The 26,048-nt window shown below is 55.6% G+C and overlaps 2 protein-coding genes across 8 annotated transcripts in view, besides 7 other annotated features; one reads left to right on the forward strand and one right to left on the reverse strand.

Annotated features, from left to right (window-relative positions):
• Positions 1-1,523: 1,523 nt before the first annotated feature.
• Positions 1,524-26,048, forward strand: part of SLC5A10 (solute carrier family 5 member 10) — a 71,890-nt gene continuing 47,365 nt past the window's right edge. For 4 of the 6 annotated variants that reach the window (XM_017024191.3, NM_152351.6, NM_001042450.4 and 1 more), the window contains exons 1-8: positions 3,013-3,164; positions 9,530-9,601; positions 9,983-10,087; positions 10,452-10,511; positions 11,396-11,500; positions 19,900-20,005; positions 20,190-20,270; positions 21,861-22,066. In XM_017024191.3, coding sequence (XP_016879680.2) covers positions 3,054-3,164; positions 9,530-9,601; positions 9,983-10,087; positions 10,452-10,511; positions 11,396-11,500; positions 19,900-20,005; positions 20,190-20,270; positions 21,861-22,066 — 846 coding nt within the window. In that variant the 5' untranslated portion in view covers positions 3,013-3,053. Of the gene's footprint in view, positions 1,707-3,012; positions 3,165-9,529; positions 9,602-9,982; positions 10,088-10,451; positions 10,512-11,395; positions 11,501-19,899; positions 20,006-20,189; positions 20,271-21,860; positions 22,067-26,048 lie in introns of those variants that run through there. The other 2 variants (NM_001282417.1, NM_001270648.3) reach the window with 2 other exon arrangements.
• Positions 11,769-11,928: a silencer, noted in NCBI's record as "silent region_8281". NCBI's record gives its function as "represses an Ori minimal core promoter by ATAC-STARR-seq in GM12878 lymphoblastoid cells {active_cell/tissue: GM12878}" and the evidence as "EXISTENCE:reporter gene assay evidence [ECO:0000049][PMID:35858748]".
• Positions 11,928-12,925: an enhancer, noted in NCBI's record as "H3K4me1 hESC enhancer chr17:18864393-18865390 (GRCh37/hg19 assembly coordinates)". NCBI's record gives its function as "activates a minimal SCP1, AML or CMV promoter by ChIP-STARR-seq in naive H9 embryonic stem cells {active_cell/tissue: H9 hESC(naive)}" and the evidence as "EXISTENCE:reporter gene assay evidence [ECO:0000049][PMID:30033119]".
• Positions 12,642-12,861: an enhancer, noted in NCBI's record as "active region_11847". NCBI's record gives its function as "activates an Ori minimal core promoter by ATAC-STARR-seq in GM12878 lymphoblastoid cells {active_cell/tissue: GM12878}" and the evidence as "EXISTENCE:reporter gene assay evidence [ECO:0000049][PMID:35858748]".
• Positions 13,974-14,508: an enhancer, noted in NCBI's record as "H3K4me1 hESC enhancer chr17:18866439-18866973 (GRCh37/hg19 assembly coordinates)". NCBI's record gives its function as "activates a minimal SCP1, AML or CMV promoter by ChIP-STARR-seq in naive H9 embryonic stem cells {active_cell/tissue: H9 hESC(naive)}" and the evidence as "EXISTENCE:reporter gene assay evidence [ECO:0000049][PMID:30033119]".
• Positions 14,509-15,042: an enhancer, noted in NCBI's record as "H3K4me1 hESC enhancer chr17:18866974-18867507 (GRCh37/hg19 assembly coordinates)". NCBI's record gives its function as "activates a minimal SCP1, AML or CMV promoter by ChIP-STARR-seq in naive H9 embryonic stem cells {active_cell/tissue: H9 hESC(naive)}" and the evidence as "EXISTENCE:reporter gene assay evidence [ECO:0000049][PMID:30033119]".
• Positions 18,782-19,725: an enhancer, noted in NCBI's record as "H3K27ac-H3K4me1 hESC enhancer chr17:18871247-18872190 (GRCh37/hg19 assembly coordinates)". NCBI's record gives its function as "activates a minimal SCP1, AML or CMV promoter by ChIP-STARR-seq in primed H9 embryonic stem cells {active_cell/tissue: H9 hESC(primed)}" and the evidence as "EXISTENCE:reporter gene assay evidence [ECO:0000049][PMID:30033119]".
• FAM83G (family with sequence similarity 83 member G) overlaps positions 19,637-26,048 on the reverse strand; it is a 37,328-nt gene continuing 30,916 nt past the window's right edge. For both annotated transcript variants that reach the window (XM_017024953.3, NM_001039999.3), the window contains exon 6: positions 19,637-22,596. In XM_017024953.3, the coding sequence (XP_016880442.1) occupies positions 22,207-22,596 (390 nt within the window). In that variant the 3' untranslated portion in view covers positions 19,637-22,206. The remainder of the gene's footprint in view (positions 22,597-26,048) is intronic.
• Positions 21,612-22,553: an enhancer, noted in NCBI's record as "H3K4me1 hESC enhancer chr17:18874077-18875018 (GRCh37/hg19 assembly coordinates)". NCBI's record gives its function as "activates a minimal SCP1, AML or CMV promoter by ChIP-STARR-seq in naive H9 embryonic stem cells {active_cell/tissue: H9 hESC(naive)}" and the evidence as "EXISTENCE:reporter gene assay evidence [ECO:0000049][PMID:30033119]".

The raw sequence follows: 26,048 nt of genomic DNA on the forward strand, positions 1-26,048 counted from the left end.
CTACTCAGGAGGCTGAGGTAGGAGGATCCCTTGAGCCCAGGAGGCTGAGACTGCAGTGAGCTGTGATTGTACCACTGCACTCCAGCCTGGGCAATAGAGCCAGACATTGTCTCAAAAAAATAAAATAAAATAAAGTGATAATTCTCCTTTCTCCTCTCCTTAGCAGTTTGGTGTGTGTCCTTCAAAACACTGTGGCTGTTCAGCCCCTTACATTATATATAATGAGAGGATAAACATGGATATGGGTCTATATTCTCTAGCTTGCTTTTTTCACTTACAAGTGTATCATCCTTCCATGCCATTATATAAAGCCACCTCATCTTTTTAATGGTCATGGTGTTCCATGGTTTGGAGGTCTCATAATTCACTCACCACCTTCTCTGGGTGGTTATGTAGGAAATTTCTAAACTTTTTGGCTGCCCTGAGCACGCTTGCCCTTGTAGCTTAGGACTCTTGGGGAGTTTCTCCATCAGGACAGACAAGCAGACAATACTTAGCAGGAATAAATGATCAGTCTTGTGCTTATTGCAAAAGCAGGAGCAACAGATAAGCTGGAACTAGACTTGGCAGGCAGGCAGAGAGAGGCCCTGGAGGGATTCGCTGCAAGCTGCCGCAGATGACCGTGGGCTCCCTTCATGGGCTCCCTTCACTCATGTGCAGTCCGTTCCAGTGCTGCCCAGCTCATCACATGGTTGGTCATGCCTTGGTCACAATTCTGAAGCACTTAAGAAAGAAACTCATAAGCTCATAGATGCCCCACACACAAGATACAAATGGCTCCAGTCGTCCTGCTTAGGCTCTGCTGACCCCTCCACATCCCGTTCCTGGTTCTCATGAGTCTGAGGGACTTCTTCCGGGGATGGAAGAGGCTTCAAGGGGTGTGGTACGGATGACTTCTCAGCTAGGACGGTCTTCATGTTTCTTGGGGTGAGTGAATAGGTGATCCCGTTGGGTCAGGTGGGGTGGGAATGTGGGTGTGACTGGGCTTCGGGTGGCGTTTCTTCTCCCGCAGACATGGCTGGGCTTGTTTGGTACTTCTCCCTCCATGTCCTCCGCTGCCACCCTCCTCCTGTCCCCGTCCTTCAGGACAGAACCAGCAAATCAGTCTCAGCCCCTTAAGAGCACCTTTACTGGTGCTTTCTTTCCCTAGGATTTTTTTTCTCTTTTTTCATTTTTTTCCATTTAAACTCAGTGGCAAAAATCCCAAGGACTTTTGATCCAAAGGCGGCAGTTATCACTAAGTGGTTTATTTCCTTCTAAGACCTAGCCAACGGTCTCAGAGCCAATGCTGCTGGTACAACTACTCTATTAATGGGATAGTTTTGGTAAGTCTGGATCCTCCCAGCTGGGTCCTCCTGATCAGTGCAAAGCAGCCTTTTGTTTTAAAACACATTGCAAGCAATGGCTTGGGAAGTAAACACCATCTGAGGCTCGCTGGCCAGAGGCAAGGGGAGACGGCAGGCAGTTGAGCCTGCCTGAGGGTTCTCTCAGCAGTGACTTCCTTTTTCCCTTCCTTCTTCTGCCTAGTCCTGTATGTGAGGACTATTAATTGTTTTTTGTTGTTGTTGTTGTTTGTTTTGTGAGATGGAGTCTCCCTCTGTTGCCCAGGCTGGACTGCAATGGCGCAGTCTTGGCTCACTGCAATCTCTACCTCCTGAGTTCAAGCAATTCTCCTGCCTCAGCCTCCCAAGTAGCTGGGATTACAGGTGCGTACCACCATGTCTGGCTAATTTTTGTATTTTTAGTAGAGACGAGGTTTTGCCATGTTGGCCAGGCTGGTCTCAAACTCCTGATCTCAGGTGATCCACCCGCCTTGGCCTCCCAAAGGCATGAGCCTCCCAAGGGCATGAGCCACTGCTCCTGGCCGAGGGGATTAATTTTTACCCGCACCTCAGGGTTATTGAGTAACAGGCTGGCTGGGTTTGCAGGCCAGCGTGTTCCTGGTGGCAGCCGCTCACTCATTAACACTTCTGGAAGTGCTGCATGTCTGGTTAAACTGCAAATGCTTTGCAAAGTCACGAGTCATGTCACTGAGCAGAGGCGTGAGACTGCCGGCCAGCCCTGCTGTGTACACTGATAGAATTAGTGAGCGAGCGTCCCACTCTGATGGAATCCAGATGGAACTCGTCACTGTCACTGCGGTGGAGACGGTGGGGCCACATCTGCACTGAATCCTACTCTGCGCCTTCAATGGCTGCGTAATGGCGGATGGCCATTTCCTTGACTAGGATGAGACATTGCCTACTCTGCGTGGCTGCTGTGAGCGTGAAATGGGATCATGTGCGGAACAGCCACGCATGGTCCGTGAAATGGGATCATGTGCAGAACAGCCACGCATGGTCCTTGGTGTGTGACAGATATTGGGTCCCTCTGTGGTCCCAGGCAGACATTGCCCGGGGTGGGGGCCGAATGCATGGTCAAGTTGAGGGGCCTGGGACTGTTTCACGGGTCTAGAAAAAGAAAGCAGAAACGCTGGAAGCAGGACTTTATTGTCCGACATGGGGCTGCCTCTGAGCCTGGGCTGTGTTGGCTGGACGTGAGCCATAATGCAGGTGTCCCCCTCCCAAGCCCTGCTCAGTCCACTCACAGCCCGATGGCCAAGGGAGGACATGGCTGCCCGCCACGGCAGTATCTTCAGAGGTGAGGCGGTTGTCCCTACGCTCTATGCTTCTTATACAAATTAGATATAGGTGAAGCCACCCATTAAGCAACCCAGCCTTTCTGGGACTATTTGGGCTGCCTCCGGGTCCACTAAATGCGGTTCATTTTCCCCAAGCCCCCTCCGAGTTCAAGGAGGCTCCTTCCTTTCCTCCTCCCACTTGCTTCTCCCAGGCTCCCTGACTCCTGCGCTCTGGGATCTGCACCCCACCATGGGGTGAGGAAGCTGAACTGCATGGTGAGGCAGCTGCCCTGCATGCAGCCACATCATGGGCTGGAGATGCCACTGTCCGCTTGGTTTAATGATCAATGAGCTCCCTGCCAGGAAACCCTTTCTGACCTGGTTTGCCCCTCAGTCCCTCGGGCTCATACCTAGTGCCTGCGGCAGGACAGCCATGGCCGCCAACTCCACCAGCGACCTCCACACTCCCGGGACGCAGCTGAGCGTGGCTGACATCATCGTCATCACTGTGTATTTTGCTCTGAATGTGGCCGTGGGCATATGGGTAAGGGGACCTGTGGTGGTGTTGGCCAAGTGGGCTCTCAGGGTTGGTGCTTGGGGTGGGAACCGGGGTCCAGCATGTCCCTGTGGTGTCAGCATTGGTCCCAGCTGGTGGCCTAGTGATCCTTGTGGTCCTCCTCCCAGCCTGGGGTAGACTTGCTTGGAGACCTTGACCAAGCCCGTTTCTCTCTTTGGGTAATGGCGTCTCCATCTGCAAAGTGAGGAGGAGGAAATTCTCTCTAACAGGTAACTGGGCTTTTGTGCTGCTGCCCAGCTGGAGTCCTTGGGTGTGGCCCATCAGCCTCCTGGTCCCAGTCTCCATGGTGTCAGTGACTCCTGTCTGCTTGAACAACAGGCTCCCCGGGATTCCCTGGCTGCACCCCAGAGCTGCTGGATCAGAATCCGGAGGCAGGGAGGGCCCTGGGAACTGGGGGTCTTTATTTTGAACAAGCTCCCTGGGGATTTATGTCCTGTGGCCTAGCCCTAGATCATAAGCCGGTTCTTTCTCCCTTCATAACAGTGAGAAATGAGCAGAGATCTGACCCCACACACAGATTCCAGGGGCAGCGGGGCCCCTGGGGACAGGCTGTTTCATGTGCAGATGGAGAAACCGAGGCTCTGGCCCTGCAGCAAGGGAAGGGCTCCTCTGGTCTATCGTGGAGGCCTTCCTGAGGGAAGGTGGACACAGCCTGGTTCAGGTCACCTGCTCCACGCTTAGCGCCTGGGGATGTTGGGCTCCACTTCTTAAGCCCCAGAGGTCCCCAGCCTGGCATCCCTGAGCCCTGACAGTCTCCTGGGGAGAATGAGTACCCCTTCTTTTTTTTTTTTTTTTTTTTTAACTGAGACGGAGTCTAGCACTGTCACCTGGGCTGGAGTGCAGTGGCACTATCTCGGCTCACTGCAACCTCCACCTCCTGGGTTCAAACAATTCTGCCTCAGCCTCCTGAGTAGCTGGGATTACAGGCGTCCACTACCACACCCAGGTAATGTTTTGTATTTTTAGTAGAGACAGAGTTTTACCGTGTTGGCCAGGCTAGTCTCGAACTCCTGACCTCATGATTTGCCCGCCTCGGCCTCCCAAAGTGCTAGAATTACAGGCGTGAGCCACCGCGCCCGGCCGAGTACCCGTTCTTATCTTCCATAACCCCTGGCCTAAGCACGAAGGCCTGGCAAACAGGAGACTGGTCACGTCCCCTCAGCTTCCTGGGCCTCAGTGTTCTGATCTGTTATATGGAGACACCACCTACCTGGGGTGAGGTCTGCTATCAAGGGGCCCACACAGGACCAGACCTTGCTGCTGCCATTGGTTCTACAGTGGTAGCAGTGGTGGTGGTGGTGGCAGTTGTAGCAGTGGTGATTATAAGAGTAGCAGCCGCAGTCATTAAAATTAATTATCACAGGTTGGATTTCAAAAATCTGAAACCCAAAATCTGGAACATTTTGAACACCAACATGATGCTCAAAGCAAATGCTCATTGGAGCATCTCAGATTTTAGAGTTTTGGGTTGGGGATGTTCAACTGGCAGGTATTCTGTAAGTATCTCCAAATCTGAAAGAGTCCGAAATCCAAAACTTTTCTGGTTTCAAATATTTCGGATAACGGCTCCTCAACCTGTATGTGATTAAATATTAACTCACAAGTAGCCCAGTGCTGGCCATCGGCAAAGCCGAGTTCAAGTCTCGGCTCTGCTCTGTGTACTTAAGTCACTTAATCTCTGTGGGCTTCAGTTTCCTCAAACACGCAATGCGGGTTTCTGTGCAGCCCACATCTCAGGGCTGTTCCAAGGAGCAAGGGTCCAATGGAAGTGAAAATCTGTTGCAAACTGTAACGTGCTATATTCCTGTGACAGTTGGTGGCTAGAATTCAGAGGAGGAGGTGCCCACGTGGGGCAGAACAGACAGTGGAGGGTTTCTGGATGAGGGGAGGTAAGGGCCAGGCAAGATCTGAAGAGGGAAAGAGGAGGGGAGACAAGGCTGTCCTGGCTAGCACGTCTAAGAAAGATGTTCTGGGCACCTGAGGCCAGACCCTTTGTAGCCCAGTGACTTGGGCCACCAGCCCTTGTTGCCCATGACCCACCTCTCCTAGTGAGTCAGCTTGCTGTTTGCAGGCTGGTGCCCCTGGAAGTAGGGCTGTAGGAGTTCTGCCCTGTCCCTCCTAGCAGGCTAGGCTGGCCCAGCTGGGAGCGGCTGGCAAGAGAGCAGTGAGCACATCCAGAAAAGATCAGAACCAGACAGGGAGGATGCTGGAGATGCATCCCACAGGGAGAAGCAGACAGAGCAAGCCAGGCAGGTGCAGCCCTGCAAAGATGTTTAGATGGTGGGCCTGGGAGAGTCTGGCGGGGGCCGGGGGGAGGCCTTTAAGGAAGAGATGTTCCTGGAGGAGGGGACTTTGAGCTGAGCCTTTGCATTCATTAAAGTATCTGTTAACAAGTGACTGAAAACTGCTTTCAAATGAGCTCTAAGAATATAGGAAATGTAGGCCGGGCGCAGTGGCTCATGCCTGTAATCCCAGCACTTTGGGAGGCCTAGGCGGGTGGATCACGAGGTCAGGAGTTTGAGACCAGCCTGGCCAGCATGGTGAAAGCCCGTCTCTACTTTTGTATTATTTTGTGATAATACAAAAATTAGCCAGGCGTGGTGCCAGGCGCCTGTAATCCCAGCTACTCAGGAGGCTGAGGCAGGAGAATTGCTTGAAACCGGAAGGCGGAGGTCGCAATGAGCTGAGATCACGCCACTGCACTCCAGCATGGGCAAAAGAGTGAAACACTGTATCAAAAAAAAAAAAAAAAAAAAAAAAAGAATTCAGGAAATGTAATTGTGTCCAGCAATAGAAAGGGCTTCAGGTGCAGTATGATCCAGGGATTCACAGCATTATTAAGGATACAGCTACACCTCACTTTGGTTCTCTCAGCCTCCATCCATGTGTAGCTCTGTCCTAAGCCCAGCTCCCCTCGTGTCCTGATGTGAAATGACCAGCCCTGCGATTGAGCCTGAGTTGAAATCCAGGCTGCACCACTTGCTAGATGGGTGTGTTTTCATCTCTGAGACCATCAGTTTCCTCATTGGTAACATGGCACCTGCTTCATAGAGCTGTTGCGAGGACTAAGAACTCCACACAGATCAAGAAGTTGAAGCCAACTCTGGCATGGGGGCCTTCGGGGAACCTTAAATGGGTACATGTGGCCCCCAGCAACTGCCAGCAGCCCCCAGAGCCCCAGATATAAGAAGGCAACTGGCAATGCCCACTATAGGCTTGAAAGATGAGAAGGGTTAGGAAAAAGCATGGGCTGTAAACATAGATGCTTTGGAGTTGTGCAGTGCACAGCGTACACATCTGGATATGGCCATCCTGGCCAAGACTGTGAGCCTTCAGACTATGCTGCCTTTAGTACAGCAAGATCACGGCACACAAAGAGAAAGTGGTGGGAGTTGGAGCTGGAGAGAGGCAGGAGCCACATCAAAAGTTCTGAACTGGGTGTGGTGGTGTCCACGTGGTTCCTGCTACTCAGGAAGCTGAGATGGGGAGATCACGTGAGCCCAGGAGTTCAAGACCTGCCTGGGCAACATAATGAGACCCTGTCTTAAAAATAAAAATAAATAGGCCGGGCGCGGTGGCTCATGCCTGTAATCCCAGCACTTTGGGAGGCCGAGGTGGGCAGATCACCTGAGGTCGGGAGTCCAAGACCAGCCTGACCAACATGGAGGAACCCCATCTCTACTAAAAATACAAAATTAGCCGGGCATGGTGGCACATGCCTGTAATCCCAGCTACTAGGGAGGCTGAGGCAGGAGAATCGCTTGAACCCGGGAGGCAGAGGTTGCGGTGAGCCAAGATCGTGCCATTGCACTCCATCCTGGGCAACAAGAGCGAAACTCTGTCTCAAAAATAAATAAATAAATAAATAAATAAATAAATAAATAAATAAATAACAAATAGATAAAGCTTTGAATGGTGAGTACATACAATGAAGCCTAATCATCCTGAGTATAGGGCAGGGCAATTAAAGTCAGGAAGAAAGAGACCTGCATATTGATGGATATATTTTGTGATCCAGCCTTATGTATGTTCTGAAAAGAAATACAAAATTTGTATCTAAATACCTGTCCTGTGTCCCTCTTTTCAAATTCTTCTGTTTTTTCTTTTTTCTTTCTGTTTTTTTTTTTTTTTTTTTTTTCTGTTTTGAGACAGAGTCTTGCTCTGCAGCCCAGGCTGGAGGGCAGTGGCGCCATCTTGGCTCACTGCAGCCTTGACTTCCTGGTCTCAAGTGATCCTCCCACCTCAGACTCTAGAGTAGCTGGGATTACAAGCATGCACCACCACGCCCAGCTAATTTTAAAACTTTTTATAGAGACAGAGTTCCACTATGTTGCCCAGGCTGGTCTTGAATCCCTGGCTTGAGTAACCCTCCTTCCTTGGCCTCCCAAAGTGTTGGGATTACAGGCATGAGCCACCACGCCTGGATGATTTAACTTAAATTTCTCCCATCCAAATAGCACTAAAGACAGGCTTGAAAAATCCATGTACTCACTGACCCTTATCTCAGCATGCTACGTGTACTAACCCACTAAAGCTCATAAAAACCCTGTGAGGGTTAGGAAGCCAAGGCAGGCAGATCACATGAGGTCAGGAATTTGAGACCAGCCTGGCCAACATAGTGAAACCCCCTCCTACTAAAAACACAAAAAATTAGCCAGGTGTGGTGGTGCGCACCTGTAATCCCAGCTACTCGGGAGGCTGAGGCAGGAGAACCGCTCGAACCCGGGAGGTGAAGGTTGCCGTGAGCCAAGATCTGTCACTGCATTCCAGCCAGGGTGACGGAGTGAGATTCTGTCTCAAAAAACAAAACAAAACAAAATTCATGAAGGAAGAACTTCTTAGGACCACATTACAGAGGAAGAAACCAAGGCATACGCGTTCAGTAACTTGCCCCAGGTAACACGGCCAGGAAGCAGGGAAGACAGGATTTTACTCTCAGACGTTCCGACTCCAGAATTTTTATTCCACTTACATGGAGGACAAAATTCTATACTCCCCGTAAACCAAAGGCATGTGGGAATACGTAGGTAAGGAGCTGACTGCTTCTGTTCTTTTTATAAAAGTTGAGATAAAATTTACATAATATACAATTCATCATTTTAACCATTTTATTTTATTTTATTTTATTTATTTATTTTGAGACGGAGCCTTGCTCTGTCACCAGGCTGGAGTGCAGTGGCACGATCTCGGCTCACTGCAACCTCCACCTCCCGGGTTCAAGCAATTCTGCCTCAGCCTCCCGAGTAGCTGGGACTACAGGCGCCTGCCACCACGCCCAGCTAATTTTTGTATTTTTAGTAGAGACAGGGTTTCACCATGTTGGCCAGGATGGACTCGTTCTCTTGACCTCGTGATCCACCCACCTCGGCCTCCCAAAGTGCTGGGATTACAGGCGTGAGCCACCGCGCCAGCCCATTTTAACCATTTTAAAGTGTGCAATTCATGGCATTTAGTACATTTGCAATGCTGCGCAACCATTACCTGTAGCTAGCTCCAAAACATTTTCATCCTGTCCCCATCAAAGTCAAGCACCGTTCTTCCTGCCTCCCAGCCCCTGGCAACAACTCATCTGCTTTCTGTCTCTATAAATTTGCCTGTTCTGGACTTTTCATATAAATGGAATCATACAATTCGTGGCCTTTTGTGTCTGTCTGTGTTCATGAAGCATCATGTTGTCAAGGTCCATCCAAGTTGGGCATGCATCAGAGCTTCATTCCCAAGATATTTGTTGTTTTTTTCCAGACAGGATTTCACTCTGTTGCCCAGGCTGCAGTGCAGTGGCACAATCACCGCTCACTGCAGCATCCACCTCCTGGGCTCAAGAGATGCTCCCACCTCAGTGTCCTAAGTAGCGGGGGCCACAGGTGTGTGCCACCAAACCCTGCATTTTTTGTAGACCTGGGGTCTCACTATGTTGCCAGTCTGGTCTCAAACTGCTAGGCTCAAGTGATCCGCTTACCTCCGCCTCCCAATGTGCTGGGATTACAGGCATGAGCTACTGCACCCAATAGAACTTCATTCCTTTTGAAGACTGAATAATATTTCTTTATATAGGATATACCACATTTTGTTTATTTACTCATCAGTCGACAGAAATGTGGGTTGTTTTCACTTTTGGCTATTATGAATAATGCTGCTATGAACATTCGTGTACAAGTTTCTGAGTGGATGTGTGTTTTCAATTCTTTTGGACATATACCTAGGAGTGGAACTTCTGGGTCATATGGTGATTCTATGCGTAACCTTTTGAGGAGCTGCCAAGCCGTTTCCCATTCGACTTCCCAGCAGCAGTGTGCGGGCTTCCAACTCCTGTCCCTTTTCTCCTCTTGCAGTCCTCTTGTCGGGCCAGTAGGAACACGGTGAATGGCTACTTCCTGGCAGGCCGGGACATGACGTGGTGGCCGGTGAGTGCACCCTGACTTCTCACACACCCCCACTTTGTCCGTGGGGCTGTGTCTGATCTCTAGGTCACCTGGCATCTGTATCTTTGAGCCAGTCCAATTCAGTGGAGCAGGCCGGAGGCTGGCAGGAGGTCCCCAAGTGAGGGGCATAGGGCTGAGCTGCTAGAAATTGTGTAAGGGGCAGGGGCTATGGAGTCTGAAACTTACATCCGCTCCTTAGCTGTGCAGCTAGTCATGGGTAGAACACACACCCTGGGCTCCTCATCCGTGAGGTGGGGCTAGGACCCCGCTTAGGTTTGTGAGGATGAGGGAGAAGCTATTAGGCCCAGGATGGGGCCGGCGCAGGGAGCCTGCTGCTGATGCGTTTCCCTTTCTCTCCTCCAGATTGGAGCCTCCCTCTTCGCCAGCAGCGAGGGCTCTGGCCTCTTCATTGGACTGGCGGGCTCAGGCGCGGCAGGAGGTCTGGCCGTGGCAGGCTTCGAGTGGAATGTGAGTCCTGGAGGACTGGCGGCCTGTGGGAGGGCCAGGGCACAGGATGTGGTCGCAGCACTGGAGGGGGACAGCTCCCAGTGGCTGGTGTCAGCCGATGTCCAGGTGGGCTCTGTGCAGTGCTGTTCCTGGGCCAAATCGTGTCTTCAGAATACCAAGGTGCTGGATGGCACGACTGGCAGGGAGCTGTGGGCCTTGCCCAGACCTAGAGAGGGGAAGGAGCCACCCAGGATCTCATGGCAAGTCAGGAGGGGCTGGGGGAAGCCAGGCCTCCGGATGGCTCATCCCAGCCATGTCTGCTTTGTCTCTGGAGCAGAGCTGTGGGAGCTGCACCTGCAGTCCTCACCTGTCTCTGTCCCCATAGGCCACGTACGTGCTGCTGGCACTGGCATGGGTGTTCGTGCCCATCTACATCTCCTCAGAGGTGAGTCTACTCATGGGGCCTCCAGCTGGGGGGCTGGGCCTTGGTCCAAGTTGGTGGTAGTAATGGGCAGGACCACCGTGGCCTCACATCAGGAGTTGGTAAACTCTTAGGGCTGGGTTTGCTATTAGCCCGACTAATATTTCTATCAACCTGCTAAGGTGGATCCCGACTAATATTTCTATCAACCTGCTAAGGTGGATCCCCTCAGACCTCAGCCTGGGTGCCGTGTTGGCTGGTTTCCACTGCCCTGAGTGCTGCATCTCAGGAATAATGTCCCATCCAGCTGGGCACATAGGCTGTACAACTGGGCCATGCACCTGGTTTGCACACCTGGCCCACACACCTGGGTAGCATACCTGGGCTGTACCCCTGGGCTGCGTACCTGAATGGCACACCTGGGCCGCACAATTGGCTGCACCATCGTCGACTCTGCCCACTCCTTCAGCCCCAGCCATGCAGCCACTAAGTCCAGTCAACTCCACTTCCTGGATGTCTCTCAGCCTGTCCCCAGCTCTGCCCCTCACAGCCACCTCCCTCATCCAGCCTCATCATAGTGCACCTGGATTTGTCATAACAGCCTCTAAACTTGTCCCTCTGTCCCAGCCACGGCCCCTCCAATCCATTCCTCGTCTCAGCCCTAAAGAGCCAGTCTAGGGATCTCAGCCTGCCACTCCCCTGCCTGACACCCTCGGGGCGCAGCCGGAGCAGCCCGGGATTCCAGGCCGGGTGCTGGGGCTGTAAGGGGTCAGTGCCTGGGCCTTGCCCTTGAGAGGCTCGCAGCTGCTTTGTGGCGGGGGGAGAGGCAGAGTGATTGAGACAGGCCCTGCCTGGAGCCCTGGGCATCATCTGGAGGATGCTTAGCCCCTACCCATGTGCCTTCCCAGATCGTCACCTTACCTGAGTACATTCAGAAGCGCTACGGGGGCCAGCGGATCCGCATGTACCTGTCTGTCCTGTCCCTGCTACTGTCTGTCTTCACCAAGATATCGGTGAGCTGCCCCCGGCTCCCTGCTGGCATAGCCTGGAAACATCGCCAATCTGTGGGCCCCTCAAGAGGACCTGACATCTTCTCATTCATCTCTGCCTTGTTTAACAGCTGGGCAAATTGAGGCCCAGAGAGGGGCAATGACTTGCCCAGGGTCACGCAGCGAGTCTGGACAGGTAGTCCAGGGCCCCCGGGGTGTAGGCTCAGCAGCCAGCCCTAGTCAGGGACAGAACACAACCTGGTGACCTCTGCTTTGCCTCAGGTTCTAGACACAGGGTGTTAGGACGGTTCTCGGTCTGAGGTCAGTTCTGGGGCCGGCACCGGGGTGAGCCACGATCTCCCACTAGGGGGCGCCAAAAGCCCACGTGGTCTTAGCCACATCTGGTCTGCACTGAGCTGACCTGCCTCTCACCCCAAGGCTGGTGGGCTCCATCACTGACACCCATCCTTGGGGGCCTGGCCCTGCCCCCACGGGCATATTAAGAGCAGGAGCACACCTCGAATGTCAGGGTCAGGAGAAGCATAGAGCTCATCTTGTCCAAGCCCCTGACTTTACAGAGAGGGAAACTAAGGCCCAGAGAAGGGAAAGAGCTTGTCCTAACCCTCCCGGTGACCTCATGGCAACACTAGGCCTTCTGCTCTCACTCCAAGTCCCTGGGGGCAGCTAGCTTCATCCAGCCCCAGGCTTCTGAAGGGGCTTGAGTCCTGGGGCTGCCTGATTCTGGCTGAGAGAGCTGACACTAGCCCCTGCGACCTCCGAGCCTCCCTGTGCCTGGGGCTCCTCCCTTGTAAGGAGGGGCGGCAGACCTTGTCTCCTAGGGCTCCTGTGAGTTGGTGGTAGCAATGGGCAGGACCACCGTGTGAGGGCTGCTGTGTCTGCGGGAAGTGCTCTGTGAGGCCCAGCTTTCCCTCAGAGGCAAATGGCCTCCTGGGCCCTCTTCATTCAGTCCTGGGACTAGGAAAGCCCAGAAGAGGCGTCGATTTAGTGAAGGGAATGGAGGTGCAGAGGCCGGAGAGGTAGAGGCCTCGCTGGTCAGCCAGGAGCTGTGGGCAGGGCTACCTGGGAAGAGGGCCCTAAAGGGTCCATCCAGAGCCCCCACGGGGCCCCGGTGGGGGTCTCATGCAGCATCTGACCCGCCCTCTCCTCTCCTGGGGCATCCCCTCGGCAGCCTCAGCCTGGCCTCTATCTGCACTGGTGTTGCTAGGTGACTCTGAGGGGATTCCCAGAGTGTCTCATCCTTCGTGTGGGCAGGTCTCAGGAGTGGCCAGCAGCAAACCCCGTACCGCAGTCTTCGCCAGATGCCCTTGGCGTACTGTAGGAGGTTTGCTTTCTCTGGGAGCCCTTTAGAGTCCGGAGGGACTTGGCCTTGGCCTGCCCTTAAGGCTGAGTTTAGAGCTTTCCACTCATACTCTTCCTTCCTCTCCCACATTTCTTGATCTCCACCCCACCCCCATGCCAGCCACCCCCATGCCAGCCACCTCCCTGGAAACCAGGGATACAGAAATAAACAAGACCTGGCCCTGGTCTGCCAGGGGCTCGCACTGTGGTGAGAAATAGATGGATGCATGGGACAGGCATGAAACTCAGAAGAGGACACAGCGGGGCTTGCTGGGGGTGGCATTTGAGTTGGGCTCTGATGGAGACAGGGATACTGATGGGGGATGGGAGCAAATGACAAAGAGAGAGGTGGGAAGAGGCAGGATGTGTCTGGGGGTGGTCGGGGCTGGAGGCTTAGACTCTAGGAGTCACTAAGTCAGACACTTCTGGGGCCAGATAAAGAACAGCGTGGAGAGAAGCTGGGAGTGAGTAATAGGCAGTGGTGGGGACAAAGGCAAACCAGAGAACGTGCCCCAGGATTGACACACAACAGGCCCGTGTGCCACATTTGCCTCTCGGCTGCCAGTTTTCAGGGTCTGGCCTGCAGTGAGAGATGAGGCAAGGGAGGTCTGATTGTAAGAGGTTGAAGTGCCCAAGGTGCCCAGGTGGAGCGGGGGTGGTGTTTAGGAGCCGGGGTGGTGTTTAAGTGGGAGAGTGACATGGTCGTGTTTGTACTTTGTGCTCTCTGGAATCTTCCAGAGGGTGGACTGGAGGTGAGAGAGACAAGAGGAGGCCAGGCTTGTGAGGAGGCCCCAGGTAGGTCTGGTGAGGGAGGGAGACTGAGCCATGGGCACAGGGTTCTCTGCCCCCTGTTTCACCCTGCTGGCTTCTCTGCAGTAGAGCTTATACCTCACACTCGGAGAGTCCTGAAAGTGGATGGCTTGGGCGGAACTTCTAGAAAGGCAGAGGGGGCCGGCGTGGTGGCTCACGCCTATAATCCTAGCAATTTGGGAGGCTGAGGCAGGCGGATTGCCTGAGCTCAGGAGTTCAAAACCAGCCTAGGCAACACGGTGAAACTCCATCTCTACTAAAATACAAAAAAATTAGCCAAATGTGGTGGCATGCGCCTGTAGCTACTCAGGAGGCTGAGGCAGGAGAATTACTTGAACTGGGGAGATGGAGGTTACAGTGAGCTGACTCTCCAAAAATAAAAAGAACAAAAGGCAGAGGGAAGAGTTCAGTGAAGTGGGAGGACCTTAGAAACAATCTTGTCCAGCTCTCCGAGTTTACAGATGACACACTGAGGTCCAGGTCACAGCGAGTCAGGCAGGGACTACTGTTAGAACCCAGGTCTGTGCCTCCCACCACAAGAGGCCCAACCTCAGCCCTGCTGCCCTGAAGCAGCCAGGACGTGGCCTTTCAAACTCCACTTTGTGATGGGGGTGATTCAGTTTACCCAACTATAAAACAGGGAGCACCCACTCACATCAAGGCTGGGCTTCAGAACCAACGCTGGGGCTGCCTGGATGAAGCAGAGGGCGAAGCTTGAGGAATGCTAATTGCTGGGCTTGGCTGCGAGAGGACTGGGGCTACCCTGGCTGTTTGAAGTGCACGCGCCCAGGCGGTCCCCAGAGGCCCTGACCTCACTGGGCTGTGCCCCGGGAATGCCTCACATGTCTGCGCATCCAGCACCCGTCCCAGCCACTGCCCGTGTGGACAGAGATCTTAGGGTGCCTGCTGCCATCCCTCAGGCAGGGGCACTGGCCCACAGGAGGACCGGCGATGGCAGGGCCTGGAGAATCACCACCCTGACCCTCAGACGAATGGGCCCAAGCCCAGCTCCATCATTGTGGGGCTCTAGCCAGTCATTTAACCTCTGGAACTGGGCACGATGCCCCATGCCACTTGCAGTAAAGGTCCTCCACGGGGGTCGCTTTGCGCCCTCACTGACCTCACCCCTCCCTCGCCCTGTTGCCCCCACCCGCTCCAGCCACACTGGCCTCTGCGCTTCCATGAACACACCAGGCATGGTCCTGCCTCAGGGCCTTTGCATTTGCTGTGGCCTCTGCCTGGAACCTTCTGCCTGGATATCCACGTGGCTCCCTCATGTCCCTCAAGCCTTTCCACTCTCTCCATCTTCACCCCCATCCCCGCAGGCCAGCCCCCTTCCTCTCTCTACCCCCATGGACTCGGAACGCCTGCTGGCTGTGTGCTCCGTTGGTTCCCTTGCTCACTGGCCGCATCCCCAGGGCTGCCCACATGCCTCGTGGGTCTAGGTGAGAGAATCTATGCCAGGGGTCAGCTCGTTTTTTCTGCGAAAGGCCTGAGAGTAAATATTTTCAGCTTCACAGGCCACCCAGTCTCTGTCCTCACTCCTCAACTCTGCCCCTGGGGCCCGAAAGTGCCTGCAGACAATACCATAAGGCATGACTGGGCCTGGCCTGTGGGTTCTGGGCTGCCACTCCCTGCCCTATGGAAATCACCTACTTACTGTGCACCTACTGTGTGCCAGGCCCTGGGTGAGCCCCCCACACCCATAGATGCTTTCTAGACAGGGGGTAAGGAAACAGACCAAGGAAATCATAAGAAATGGTAAAAGTGTGACAAAAGAAGCAAACACGGTGAAGGGGGGACAGAAATGGGGAGACAGGAGCAGGGAGTGGGCTCACTGGAGACAGGGCAGTCTGGGGTGGAAATGCCAGCCTTGCAGCCACAGGGCAAGAGCTTGGCAAGTCCAGGAGTGGGAAGCTCATGGGGCTGGGGGTGTCTAGGGATATGGAGGGGCAGCAATGACCAAGAGCGGAGAGGCAGTGGGGACCACGCAGAGCCTCTGGGCAGGGCCTCTGCCGGGCGGGGGTGCACCTTATTCCTGGAATGGTAGAAATGCAGAACCTGACCGGGTGCAGTGGCTCACACCTGTAATCCCAGCAATTTGGGAGGCCGAGGCGGGTGGATCACCTGAGGTCAGGAGTTCGAGACCAGCCTGGCCAACATGGTTAAACCCTGTTTCTACTAAAAATACAAAAAATTAGCCAGGCGTGGTGACACACACCTGTAATCCCAGCTACTCGGAAGGCTGAGGCAGGAAAATCGCTTGAACCCAGGAGGCAGAGGTTTTTTTAAAAAAAAAAAAAAAGAGGAAATGCAGAGCCCCAGATCTTCCTTGCACAAGCCAAATGCAGGAGGGACCAGTGAGGGGCTTGCAAGGGGATCGGGCCCAGGGTGGGGGCAGCAGAGGTTTTGGGGAGTGGGTGTGTGTTTTGGAGACGGAATCCATAGCAGTGGCCGGTGGGTCAGAGGCGGGGAGTGTGGCAAAGGGGAGCCCCGGAGGACGGTGATGGCCTCCATGGAAATGGGCAAGGCTCAGGGGCAGAGGACACCAAAAAGATTTGGGAGAAATCACAGTCAACTCCTAGTGTCAGTGCAGAGCCCACCCAGCTTCTCTGCTGTCCCACGAAGGATGGGAGATATAAGTTCCATGTGGGAAGGTGGCTGAGAGCGGGCAGGGCAAGGGCCCAGGCCGGGCAGCCAGAGTACCAGGGCCGGTTCCCAGCCTCCTTCAGCCTCAGACACGCCCTGGAGTGAATGGTTTCCATCGGCTGGGAGATGGAGTGAGGCTCCTTCATATACGTGGGGAGCTTGGGGGTCTAAGCTGTGCAGAGCCCGCCAGATCAGTCCCACGCTGCACCACAGGGCCCACACGTCCTCTCTCAGCCTTGCTCCCTCCCTGTGTACTGGGCTCCCGCCCTTGCAAGCCCCCAGTGGTGGCTACATGGTGCCAGGAGAGGAGTGGCTTGCTGCCAACAGTGTGTGCTCTCTGGGAGGTCCCCTGCCATGAGTTTCCTCCCCAGGACCTCACAGGCCCCAGGGTCAGCCAGCAGGAAGGGCACGTCCTTGGGGCCCACCTCTTAGGACGGTGGGACTTTGACAAAGTCATTTCACTTCTCCATGCCCAGGTGCCCCCCACTGTGGAGTGGAGTGGATTACCACACCCACCTGGTAGGATGCTATGAGCAGCACTGGGGGAGACCTGAAAGACATCAGGGCGCCGTGTGGCACACACGCACATTTGTCACCTGTCAAAAGTGGCAAGTCAGCAGGGAGTCCTGGAGGACAACCAGGGCCGTGAAGCACTGGCAGGGTTTCTGGGTACAAGATGAAGGGAGGAATCGTGGGGGTCCTGCATGGGGAGGAAGGAGCAGGGTAGTGGAAAGGACAGTTTGTGCAGGGTGAATGTGGGGCCACATCACAGGAGCAGGCAGGCACCTCTGGACAGCAGCCTGGATCAGGCTGCTGAGCTGGGGGTGGACCAGTTGCTCCGGCCCCATGGGTGGCAGCCTGGAGTGAGGTCCTGGTTCAGCCTGTGCCCTGGGAGTGGCCCTTCCTCGGGGATGCTGTTCCCTGGTGCAGTCTTGTTGATTTTGTTCCCAGAGTTTTGCCTCCATGGGCAAGTTCCTCTGCAATTTGGGCCTTGACCTCCCCATCTGTGCCTTCTAGGAGTTGGAATAGACTCTGGGCCGGGTGCGGTGGCTCACGCCTGTAATCCCAACACTTTGGGAGGCCGAGGTGGGTGGATCACCTGAGGTCAGGAGTTTGAGACCAGCCTGGCCAACATGGTGAAACCATGTACAAAATTAGCCGGGCTTGATGGCACACACCTGTAATCCCAGCTACTCAGGAGGCTGAGGCAGGAGAATCACTTGAACCCGGGAGGTGGAAGTTGCAGTGAGCCGAGATCGCACCACTGCACTCCAGCCTGGGTGACAGAGCAAGACTCCGTCTCAAAAAAAAAAAAAAAAACAACACTCTGCGGTTGCTCCTGGGTCACTGGGGAGGGAGGCACAGAGGAGAGCTGGCTATCTCAGACAGTCCCACGGAGCATCCCGTGCCAGGGTGAGGGGGTAGAGGGGCTGCAGGGTGCCGGCAGGGTGGAGGGGCTGGGTGGCTGGCTTTGTGTGCTCCACACCCACTTCCCCATGGCACAGATCAGGGGCACTGAGGTTCAGGGGATGAAGTGGCCTGCTCAAAGCCATGTGGCTGGGACATGGCAGACCAGGGGCACAGAGCCAGGGCTGTGTGGCTCTTGGCATCTGTCAGGCTGAAGCTGCCCCGGCCCACAGAGGAGTGCTCGGGCTGCAGGAAGGGTCGGATAGGGCTAAGTGATGTCTGAATTCCTCACCCGGGGGCTGCTCGGGAGTTGCAGGCAACCGCACACCTACTGGGCCTCTAGCAACAGCAGCAAACGTTCACTGGATGCCATGTAGTGTCCAGTCTATAGGGGAGACAGCAGTGAAAGGCCCACCCCACACCCTTGCTCCTGCCGTTCCTGCACCTGCGGGACTTCTATTCAGTCTTTGGGGCCTGCCACCGTGGAAGGAAGGGCAGGAAGGAGGGAGGCAGGAGGGAGGGCGAATGAACAATGTACTCGAGGAGCAGAGGGGCTGGCACGGCTGTGTTTTGAAACATGAGAAGCAGAGGCTGGGATGTTCCAGGGCAGAGGGAATCTGGTGAGCCGGTGAGCAAAGACTCAGAGGCAGCTAAGTGCTGGGCATGGGATGAAGGGCCATGTGTCTGGCGTGGCCAGAGCCAAAGACCGGGCACACAGACCCAGGTTCTGTCCAGAGACAGCCAGGGTCCAGCAGGAGTCTGGAGCAGTGACTGTAGGACAGAAGCTTGCAGGCTGCCTGTGGTGGGCCTTCTAGAAGCCTCCTGCTCCCTCTCGGCCTTCCCTCTCCTGGTAACTCCAATCTCTGATACCTACCAGGGGCTGACTTTGGGGAAGTCCTTTCCCTTCCTGGGGCCTCAGTTTATCCTCTAGTCTGATGGGGCAGGACTTGAAGAGTCCATCCTGCTCTGATATTCAGCACCTCTGCGCTTCTCTACTTGGGCTGGAGGCAGATCCCGCCCCCACCCCCCACCACACCTTCCCCTGAACTACCTGCCCTTCCTATACACACACACACACAGCCAAAGATAAGGACCAGAGCCGGGGTTCTCCTGAAAGCCCCTGGCTAGTTTCCAAACTGGCTGGTCTCTCTAAGACAGGTTGAGAGAGGCGCCTGGAGGGAGAGGTACAGGAAGCACAGGCTTTGGAGCCAGATCCCATCCTGCCTGGGCCCTGTGTCAGACCCCAGGAGGCAGGGATCCCTGCCTGGGGGAGCTCAAAGGGGCCTGGGGCCTGCACTTCCTGGGCCTCGTGCAGATGTGTCCCCACACTAGGAAGCACAGGGCCCCAGCCTTCTCAGGAAGCTCCTGGCCCCTGAGGCTGTGTGTTGGGTCATCTCGCATCTCCTGAGTCAAAGCAGAATGGTAGGTTTAGGAACTCAGGGGTGGGGCAAGGTGAAGCCTGTTACTAGCCCATGTCCCAGAGAACAGGGTCCTGCCCTTCCTCTCACTGGGCCCCTACTGCCAGGTGGAGGGTGGGATTCTGGTCTTTGAGGCCCATGCCAGGCAGAGGTTGGCCTCCAGGCTAGCGCTCCTGCCTTTAGGAGGAGCAGCCACAGGTTCTGGGAGGGCAGGGGCTGTGTCCAGTCAGTGTGGAGACCAGCTTCAGCCTGAGACCCAGCCTCTGAGCCACTATTGGCTTCAGTTCCAAACCCACTGGGGGGTGGGGGCAGGAAGCAAGGCTGCCCCTCTGTTTCCTGGTCCGCCCAGCACACACTTTTCCTGAGGCCTACTGGTCCGCCCAGCACACACTTTTCCTGAGGCCTACTGGTCTTCACAGACTCCTCACAAACTCATCAAGGTGCCCCTGGGAACCGAGGGGACAGGGCTCTGCCTTTTATCCCCTCGGGAAGGGGCCAGATTCAATAACAACACTGCTTTTGGGAAAGGCATTGGCCACTTTGGACTTTATTAGCAACAGTAATGTCCCCTGACATCCGCACAAGCTTGTAGCTCCACGGCCAGGTCTTCCCCCAACCTCACAATGGCCCCGTGATGCAGGCAGGCAGGCGAGTGGGGGTCTCCCCTCCTTATCCACAGGCCACCGAGGCCCAGAGAGGGCCTTGCCCGAGGTCACCCAGGGAGTGGCTTGCTGGAGCCCTGGGAATAACAGTCCCACACAAGGCTCTCTCCCTCCGCAGCTGGACCTGTACGCGGGGGCTCTGTTTGTGCACATCTGCCTGGGCTGGAACTTCTACCTCTCCACCATCCTCACGCTCGGCATCACAGCCCTGTACACCATCGCAGGTATGGTGCCTGCAGCAGGGAGGTCCACCCAGGGGACGTGTAAAGGGGTCAGAAGGCCACCTCCCCCTACAGGCCCGAGGGAGCAGCCCAGGAAGTGGCCCCAGCAGGAGCCCCAGAAGTTCCTCCCCGTGTCCCTCCTCCCTGGGGCCAGGGCCCCCTCCAGCAACCTTGCTTCCACTGGCAGGGGGCCTGGCTGCTGTAATCTACACGGACGCCCTGCAGACGCTCATCATGGTGGTGGGGGCTGTCATCCTGACAATCAAAGGTGAGGACAGAGTCTGTGGCCATGGCGGGGCTGTCCCCACAGCGAGCCCTTTGGAGTCTGGCACTGCCCGGCACTGTGCAGGATTCATGCCGTTGGGGTTCTGGGTAGCATCGCTGGGAGTGGGTGGGTTCAGGAGGTTGAGCCACTAGGCAGTCAGCCCCCCTGCTGGCCCCTCAGGGACTGCCCTGGCTGGTAGAGGCTACCCACCCTGCTGCCCCGCTGTTACCAGCTCTGGCCCTGGCAAGGAGCTGACTCAGGAACTCAGGGCCAGCCACACCCGCATTGGCTCAGCGCTTGATGGTGAGGTGGGGCTGTAGGCGGGTGTGAAGGCACACAACCAGGAGGCCATAAAACTGCCTGGGCAGCTCCTCCAATTGTTTAAAAGCATGTACAAAATGCCAAGAGGTGATGCTACCTCCTGCAGGACAAAGGCCAGGGAGGAAAGAAGAGAGCTGGGAGAGATTGGCGATACTAGTCTGGAACAGATAGGAAACTCACAGGGCTGCCCGGAGAGAGCGTGAGCTCACCGTCCCTGGAAGTATGTAAGCAGAGCCAGGAGGATCCCTCAGAGAGTGAACAAATCTCTAAAGACTCTTCCAGACTCAGACACTGGGACCCTGTGGCTGAGCAGTTTCTAACCCTTGAATGGCACTTGTTCATTTGCTCTGAGCCTCACACAAACCCTCGGTCTGAATACAGAGCCTGACCTGAGCTCCATGGGAACAGTGATGCTGGGGAGACCAGCATCCAGGCAGCAGGCTGCCTCTTCCATGTCCCACTTGGAAAAGGCTAGGGAGTAGGGCCTGGGGTGGAAACGGGTTTTCCTACATCCAGGCTTCTCCCTCTCAGACCAGGGGCTCTAGTGTCCCTGGGACCCACCGCATGAGAGGGATCCCAGCAGCCAGGCCCAGTCTGGAAGGGAGGGGAGTGACACAGACACAGATGGGCCAGGGCTTGGCCATGCCGGGCCCTGACCCCGAGGTAGACAGGAACAGTGAGGTGTTTTGGACTGGAGAGGAAAAAGCCCCGGCTTGAGCCCGCCAGATGGTCTATATGGTCTTGGTGGAGGCCCCATCCCTCTCTGGACCTGTCTCCCTCTTCTCTGTGCCTCAGGGGGTGGGGCCACATCACCACCAGCCACTCTCAGCTCTGCTAAAATCACACCCTTCAGGTGATCAGGATGAACACTTTAGAAGCCTCAGGAAGGTCCTCAAATGTCAAGAAAAATTACTTTTGCTTCCTTGAATCGACAATCGGAAACCTGGCTGAGAACCACTTGCCCAAGGCCGATGAGTGTCCAGAGGCCAACAGTGACTCCTGCTGGGCCAGCGGGACACTGGGGTGCCCATGTGCAAAATGCTTACTTAATAGTATTATTTTAAATACGAATAAAATAGTCATTCAAATACACCTTAAAAAAAAAAACAACCCTCTACCCTCACACCTTTCCAAACACTGGGAAAGATGAGGTGGAAAAAACTCAAGTTTGATGCATCAGGAAGTTTCTTGTGAGATGAAGGCAGGGGGGAGCCCAGGGAGTCAGGGCCCCGCAACCACCAAACTGTCCCTGTTCCACCCTGACCCCTCCAGCTTTTGACCAGATCGGTGGTTACGGGCAGCTGGAGGCAGCCTACGCCCAGGCCATTCCCTCCAGGACCATTGCCAACACCACCTGCCACCTGCCACGTACAGACGCCATGCACATGTTTCGAGACCCCCACACAGGGGACCTGCCGTGGACCGGGATGACCTTTGGCCTGACCATCATGGCCACCTGGTACTGGTGCACCGACCAGGTGAGTGCCAACGTCTCCCGCCCATCCCACCTTCCTGCCGTCCCAGTGGGCTCTGGTAGGCCCAGGCGGCCTGTCTGCCCTCCGCGTCATGAGTCTGGGCTGGGGCCTCAGAAGGTGTGGCTCCAGGCTGGGACATGCTGCTAGGGGTCTTTGCGGTCCCGGGGGGCTTGAGCCCTCCGTTTAGAATCCGATGAGGCCCACTGGCTACCGCCCGTCCTGGCCTTTAGGTGCTTCGACTGAGACAGTTTGGAGTATGGGATTCCGAAGGGACTCGGATGCTCCTCGGTGGCCCTGCCATCGGTCATGGGGCGGGCATTTTGGGCCAGTCTTGGGCTGCCGGGATCCGGAAGCAGGCGGGGTACCTGACCTCCCTTGGCCTGCCAGTGGTGGGGGCCAGCCATGGCTGGGCCAGCGTTTCTGGTAGAGCTCTGGACGCTGTCAGCAGCAGAGCGGTACCTAGGGGGTCCTGGGAAGCCGTCTTTATCCCTAGTCCCTGAGGCAGGGACCCTGTGATGATGAAACTGCTGGCCCTGGGAGAGAGAGAGCAGAGAGTGAGGCTGAGCAAGAAGGGCCAACCCCGCCCCAGCACAGGACCCTGCTCAGGCACACAGGAGCCGGCAGGCCCGGGTTCGCCTCCTGGCTCTGCCATTCACCAGGGAGTGGGCCTAGACCAGTTGGTTTAGTCACTCGATGCCTCAGTTCCCCTGTCTGTAATATGGGAATAATCCTGCCCTTTGTGGGTGTAGCAAGGCAGCTTCCTCCCAGCTCACCCCCGCAGCCTCCTCTATTCCGACACAGGCCTGGGACGTGGTTGGAAATGGGCTGAATGGGGTTGTTGGAGGCAATGCAGGAGTTTCTGTTGAGTGCAGGGGGTGACTCTGGCCCTGCCCTCAAGACCCTGTCACCAGCCCTCCAGGTGACCTCAGATGAGCTGCTTCCTGTCTCTGGGCAGAAGCAGATGGTGCCCTTGCTTTGCTTGTCCCAAAGGCCGTGGGCAGCTCCAGGGAGCATGGGGGTGGGAAAAGGCCTGTGAAGCAGTGGGCACAGGCCCCACAATTGTCCATGCCTCTGGACCCAGCCCCAGGGGTCCACCATAGGACAAGGCAGCCACAGCCAGCCTCTGTGGAATGAACGATCACAGCGCTCACACAAGCCTTTCCCACGTGGCCTACCCTGGGAGTAGGCCCGACCAGCTCCATTCATAGGCCAGAGCACTGAGGCCAGAGACAGAGCTGGATCCGAACCCAGAGTGGAGTGACTTTTCCGTGGTTCCCGACTCTGCTCTTCCTCTCCCAAGCAGCACGGGCTCCATCAGTATCTGCCCAGAGACCCTCCCTGGGTTCCAACAGTAAGAACGGACCTGGCCGGGGGCGGTGGCTCAAGCCTGTAATCCCAGCACTTTGGGAGGCTGACATGGGCGGATCACGAGGTCAGGAGATCGAGACCATCCTGGCTAACACAGTGAAACCCCGTCTCTACTAAAAATACAAAAAATTAGCTGGGCACGGTGGCAGGCGCCTGTAGTCCCAGCTACTCGGGAGGCTGAGGCAGGAGAATGGCGTGAGCCCAGGAGGTGGAGTTGACAGTGAGCAGTGAGCCGAGATTGTGCCACTGCACTCCAGCCTGGGGGACAGAGCGAGACTCCGTCTAAAAAAAAAAAAAAAAAGAACAGACCCCAACTAGGAGCTATCAGAAGCTCTGGAAGGCTGGGCCTCAGTTTCCCCATCTGTAACACGTGGTCCTCAAGCAGGGCCCCTCATGCTCCGGCATGCTGTGCTCACAAGCTGCCCACATCCGCCATGCCTCATGGGAGGGCTTTCCAGGGAACATGTGGGCTCACAGCAGGCGTCTGCCCAGTTCTCCTGGGAGGGCTGAGGGCCAGCCCCAGTGGGCAAGGGGCTGGTGAAAGGTTGGCCGTGGAGGGCACAGTAGGCAAGTGGTACCCTGCCAGGCTGAGCCCCTTTACACCCGCCACCTCCCACCTCCTCCCAATGCAGCATGGGCTTGGCATGGCACGGTCTTCTCTGGGTGGAACATCAGTCAGGAGATTTTCCCATCAAGGCCAAACGAATCTGCACATGTCCTGGCCTTGGGGTCAGGGTTGGGCAGGCCCCACTGCACAGATAAGGAGCCCGAGGCCCAGAGAGGATCACACAGGGAGGTGGAGGAGGAACACTGCTGACCCCAGGTGGTTCAGGACACCAACCAGCATTGGAGCTGTAGCCTGGCCTCTGCCCTACCTCCCCATCCTCTACCCCTTGGGCTGGGTCTGCCTGGTGGATGCGGGGCCTCGGTCCAGAAACCCAGGCACTAGTCCTACTTGAGGTTCCTGGTCTCTGTGTGGCTCTCACTGACACTGGGGACTTTTAGGGGCACCTAGAGGTCTGACTCCACTTTGCTCTGTGGCCAGGGTAGCCCTCAAAGATAGCCACAGTCTAGTCAGAAGGGAGGTAGCAGTTCTGTGTGTTGAGACCATAGGGGTGTTTTGCTTTTTTTTAAGATGGAGTCTTGCTCTGTTGCTCAGGCTGGAGTGCAGTGGCACCATCTCGGCTCACTGCAACCTCCGCCTCCTGGGTTCAAGTGATTCTCCTGTCTCAGCCACCCAGGTAGCTGGGACTACAGGCATGTGCCACCACACTCGGCTAATTTTTGTATTTTTTTTTAAGTTTTTTTTTTTTTTTTTTTTTTCCCAGAGACATAGTCTTGTTCTGTCACCCAGGCTGGAGTGCAGTGGTGTGATCTCAGCTCACTGCAACCTCCGCCTCCTGGGTTTGAGCAATTCTCCTGCCTCAGCCTCCTAAGTAGTTGGGATTACAAGCGTGTACCATCATGCCCGGCTAATTTTTGTATTTTTAATAGAGACGGGGTTTCACCATGTTGGCAAGGCTGGTCTCGAACTCCTGACCTCGTGATCCGCCCACCTAGGCCTCCCAAAGTGCTGGGATTACAGGCATGAGCCACCATGCCCAGCCAATTTTTGTATTTTTAGTAGAAATGGGGTTTCACCATGTTGGCCAGGCTGGTCTTGAACTCCTGACCTCAAGTAATCCACCCATCTTGGCCTCCCAAAGTGCTGGGATACAGGCATGGACCGTTCACTATCTTCTGGCTCATCCATGACAAGTAGGTGGCATTTTTCTAACCAGAAACAAAACCAGTAACAAAGAGGCAAAGGGTCCAGTGGACAGAGCCCTGGTCTGGGCTCCCGTCTGGGCTATGCCCCTGCCCCTCCCTGGGCCTTGGTGTCCCTGTCTGTGAAACAGGGCAGTGCACAGACCAGAAGGCCTCCCAGGGTCCTGCCAGCTCTGTCACCTGCTGATGCCGCAGCTCCAGGCCGGGTGCCCTCCCTTAGTCAGTAGCAGCCACCTCAGTCATAACAGCAACCACAGCTTTCGTGGGCAGCGTGCTGACTCCAATGGCCACACCCCAAAACTCACTCATCATCTTCCCTGAGAAAGAGAACTCACATTCACCGGAGGCCCTTGAGGAGCCAGGGACAGGCTTGGCCGGCTACACTAGCAGCCTCACTTAAGTCGTTGCAACAACTCTCCTCATTTTGCAGATGAGGAGCCCAAGGTGAAATGGCCACTCAGGGAGTGAGTGCCGGCTTCCTCAGGGAAGAGCGCCTGGCTGGGACTAGACACCAGTGCTGGGAGGTGGGGGTGAGCAGTGGCCTGCTGACATCTGAGTTGGGGGCCCAGCCTTGCTATCTGACAGTCAGGGGTGGGGAAAGCCCCTGCCCTATTCAGGGGGACTGGCAGGCCTCACAGCTCATGGAAACTCTGAGCCTCAGCTTCTCTACTTGGGGTGACAGCACCTGTCCCAGGGCCAGCTGACATGAGCACAGATTGGAATATAGAGGCAAATATCCCACCAATGGCAAAAAGACATTCAGGGTCTTAGGGAAATGCTTCTCTCCCAAGCACCTAGACAGAACCACCGTCTAACTCTCTCATTGTCCAGATGGGGCAACTGAGGCCCA

The sequence above is a fragment of the Homo sapiens genome, chromosome 17 (genome assembly GCF_000001405.40).
Source record: "Homo sapiens chromosome 17, GRCh38.p14 Primary Assembly".
NCBI classification, from domain to species: domain Eukaryota; kingdom Metazoa; phylum Chordata; class Mammalia; order Primates; family Hominidae; genus Homo; species Homo sapiens.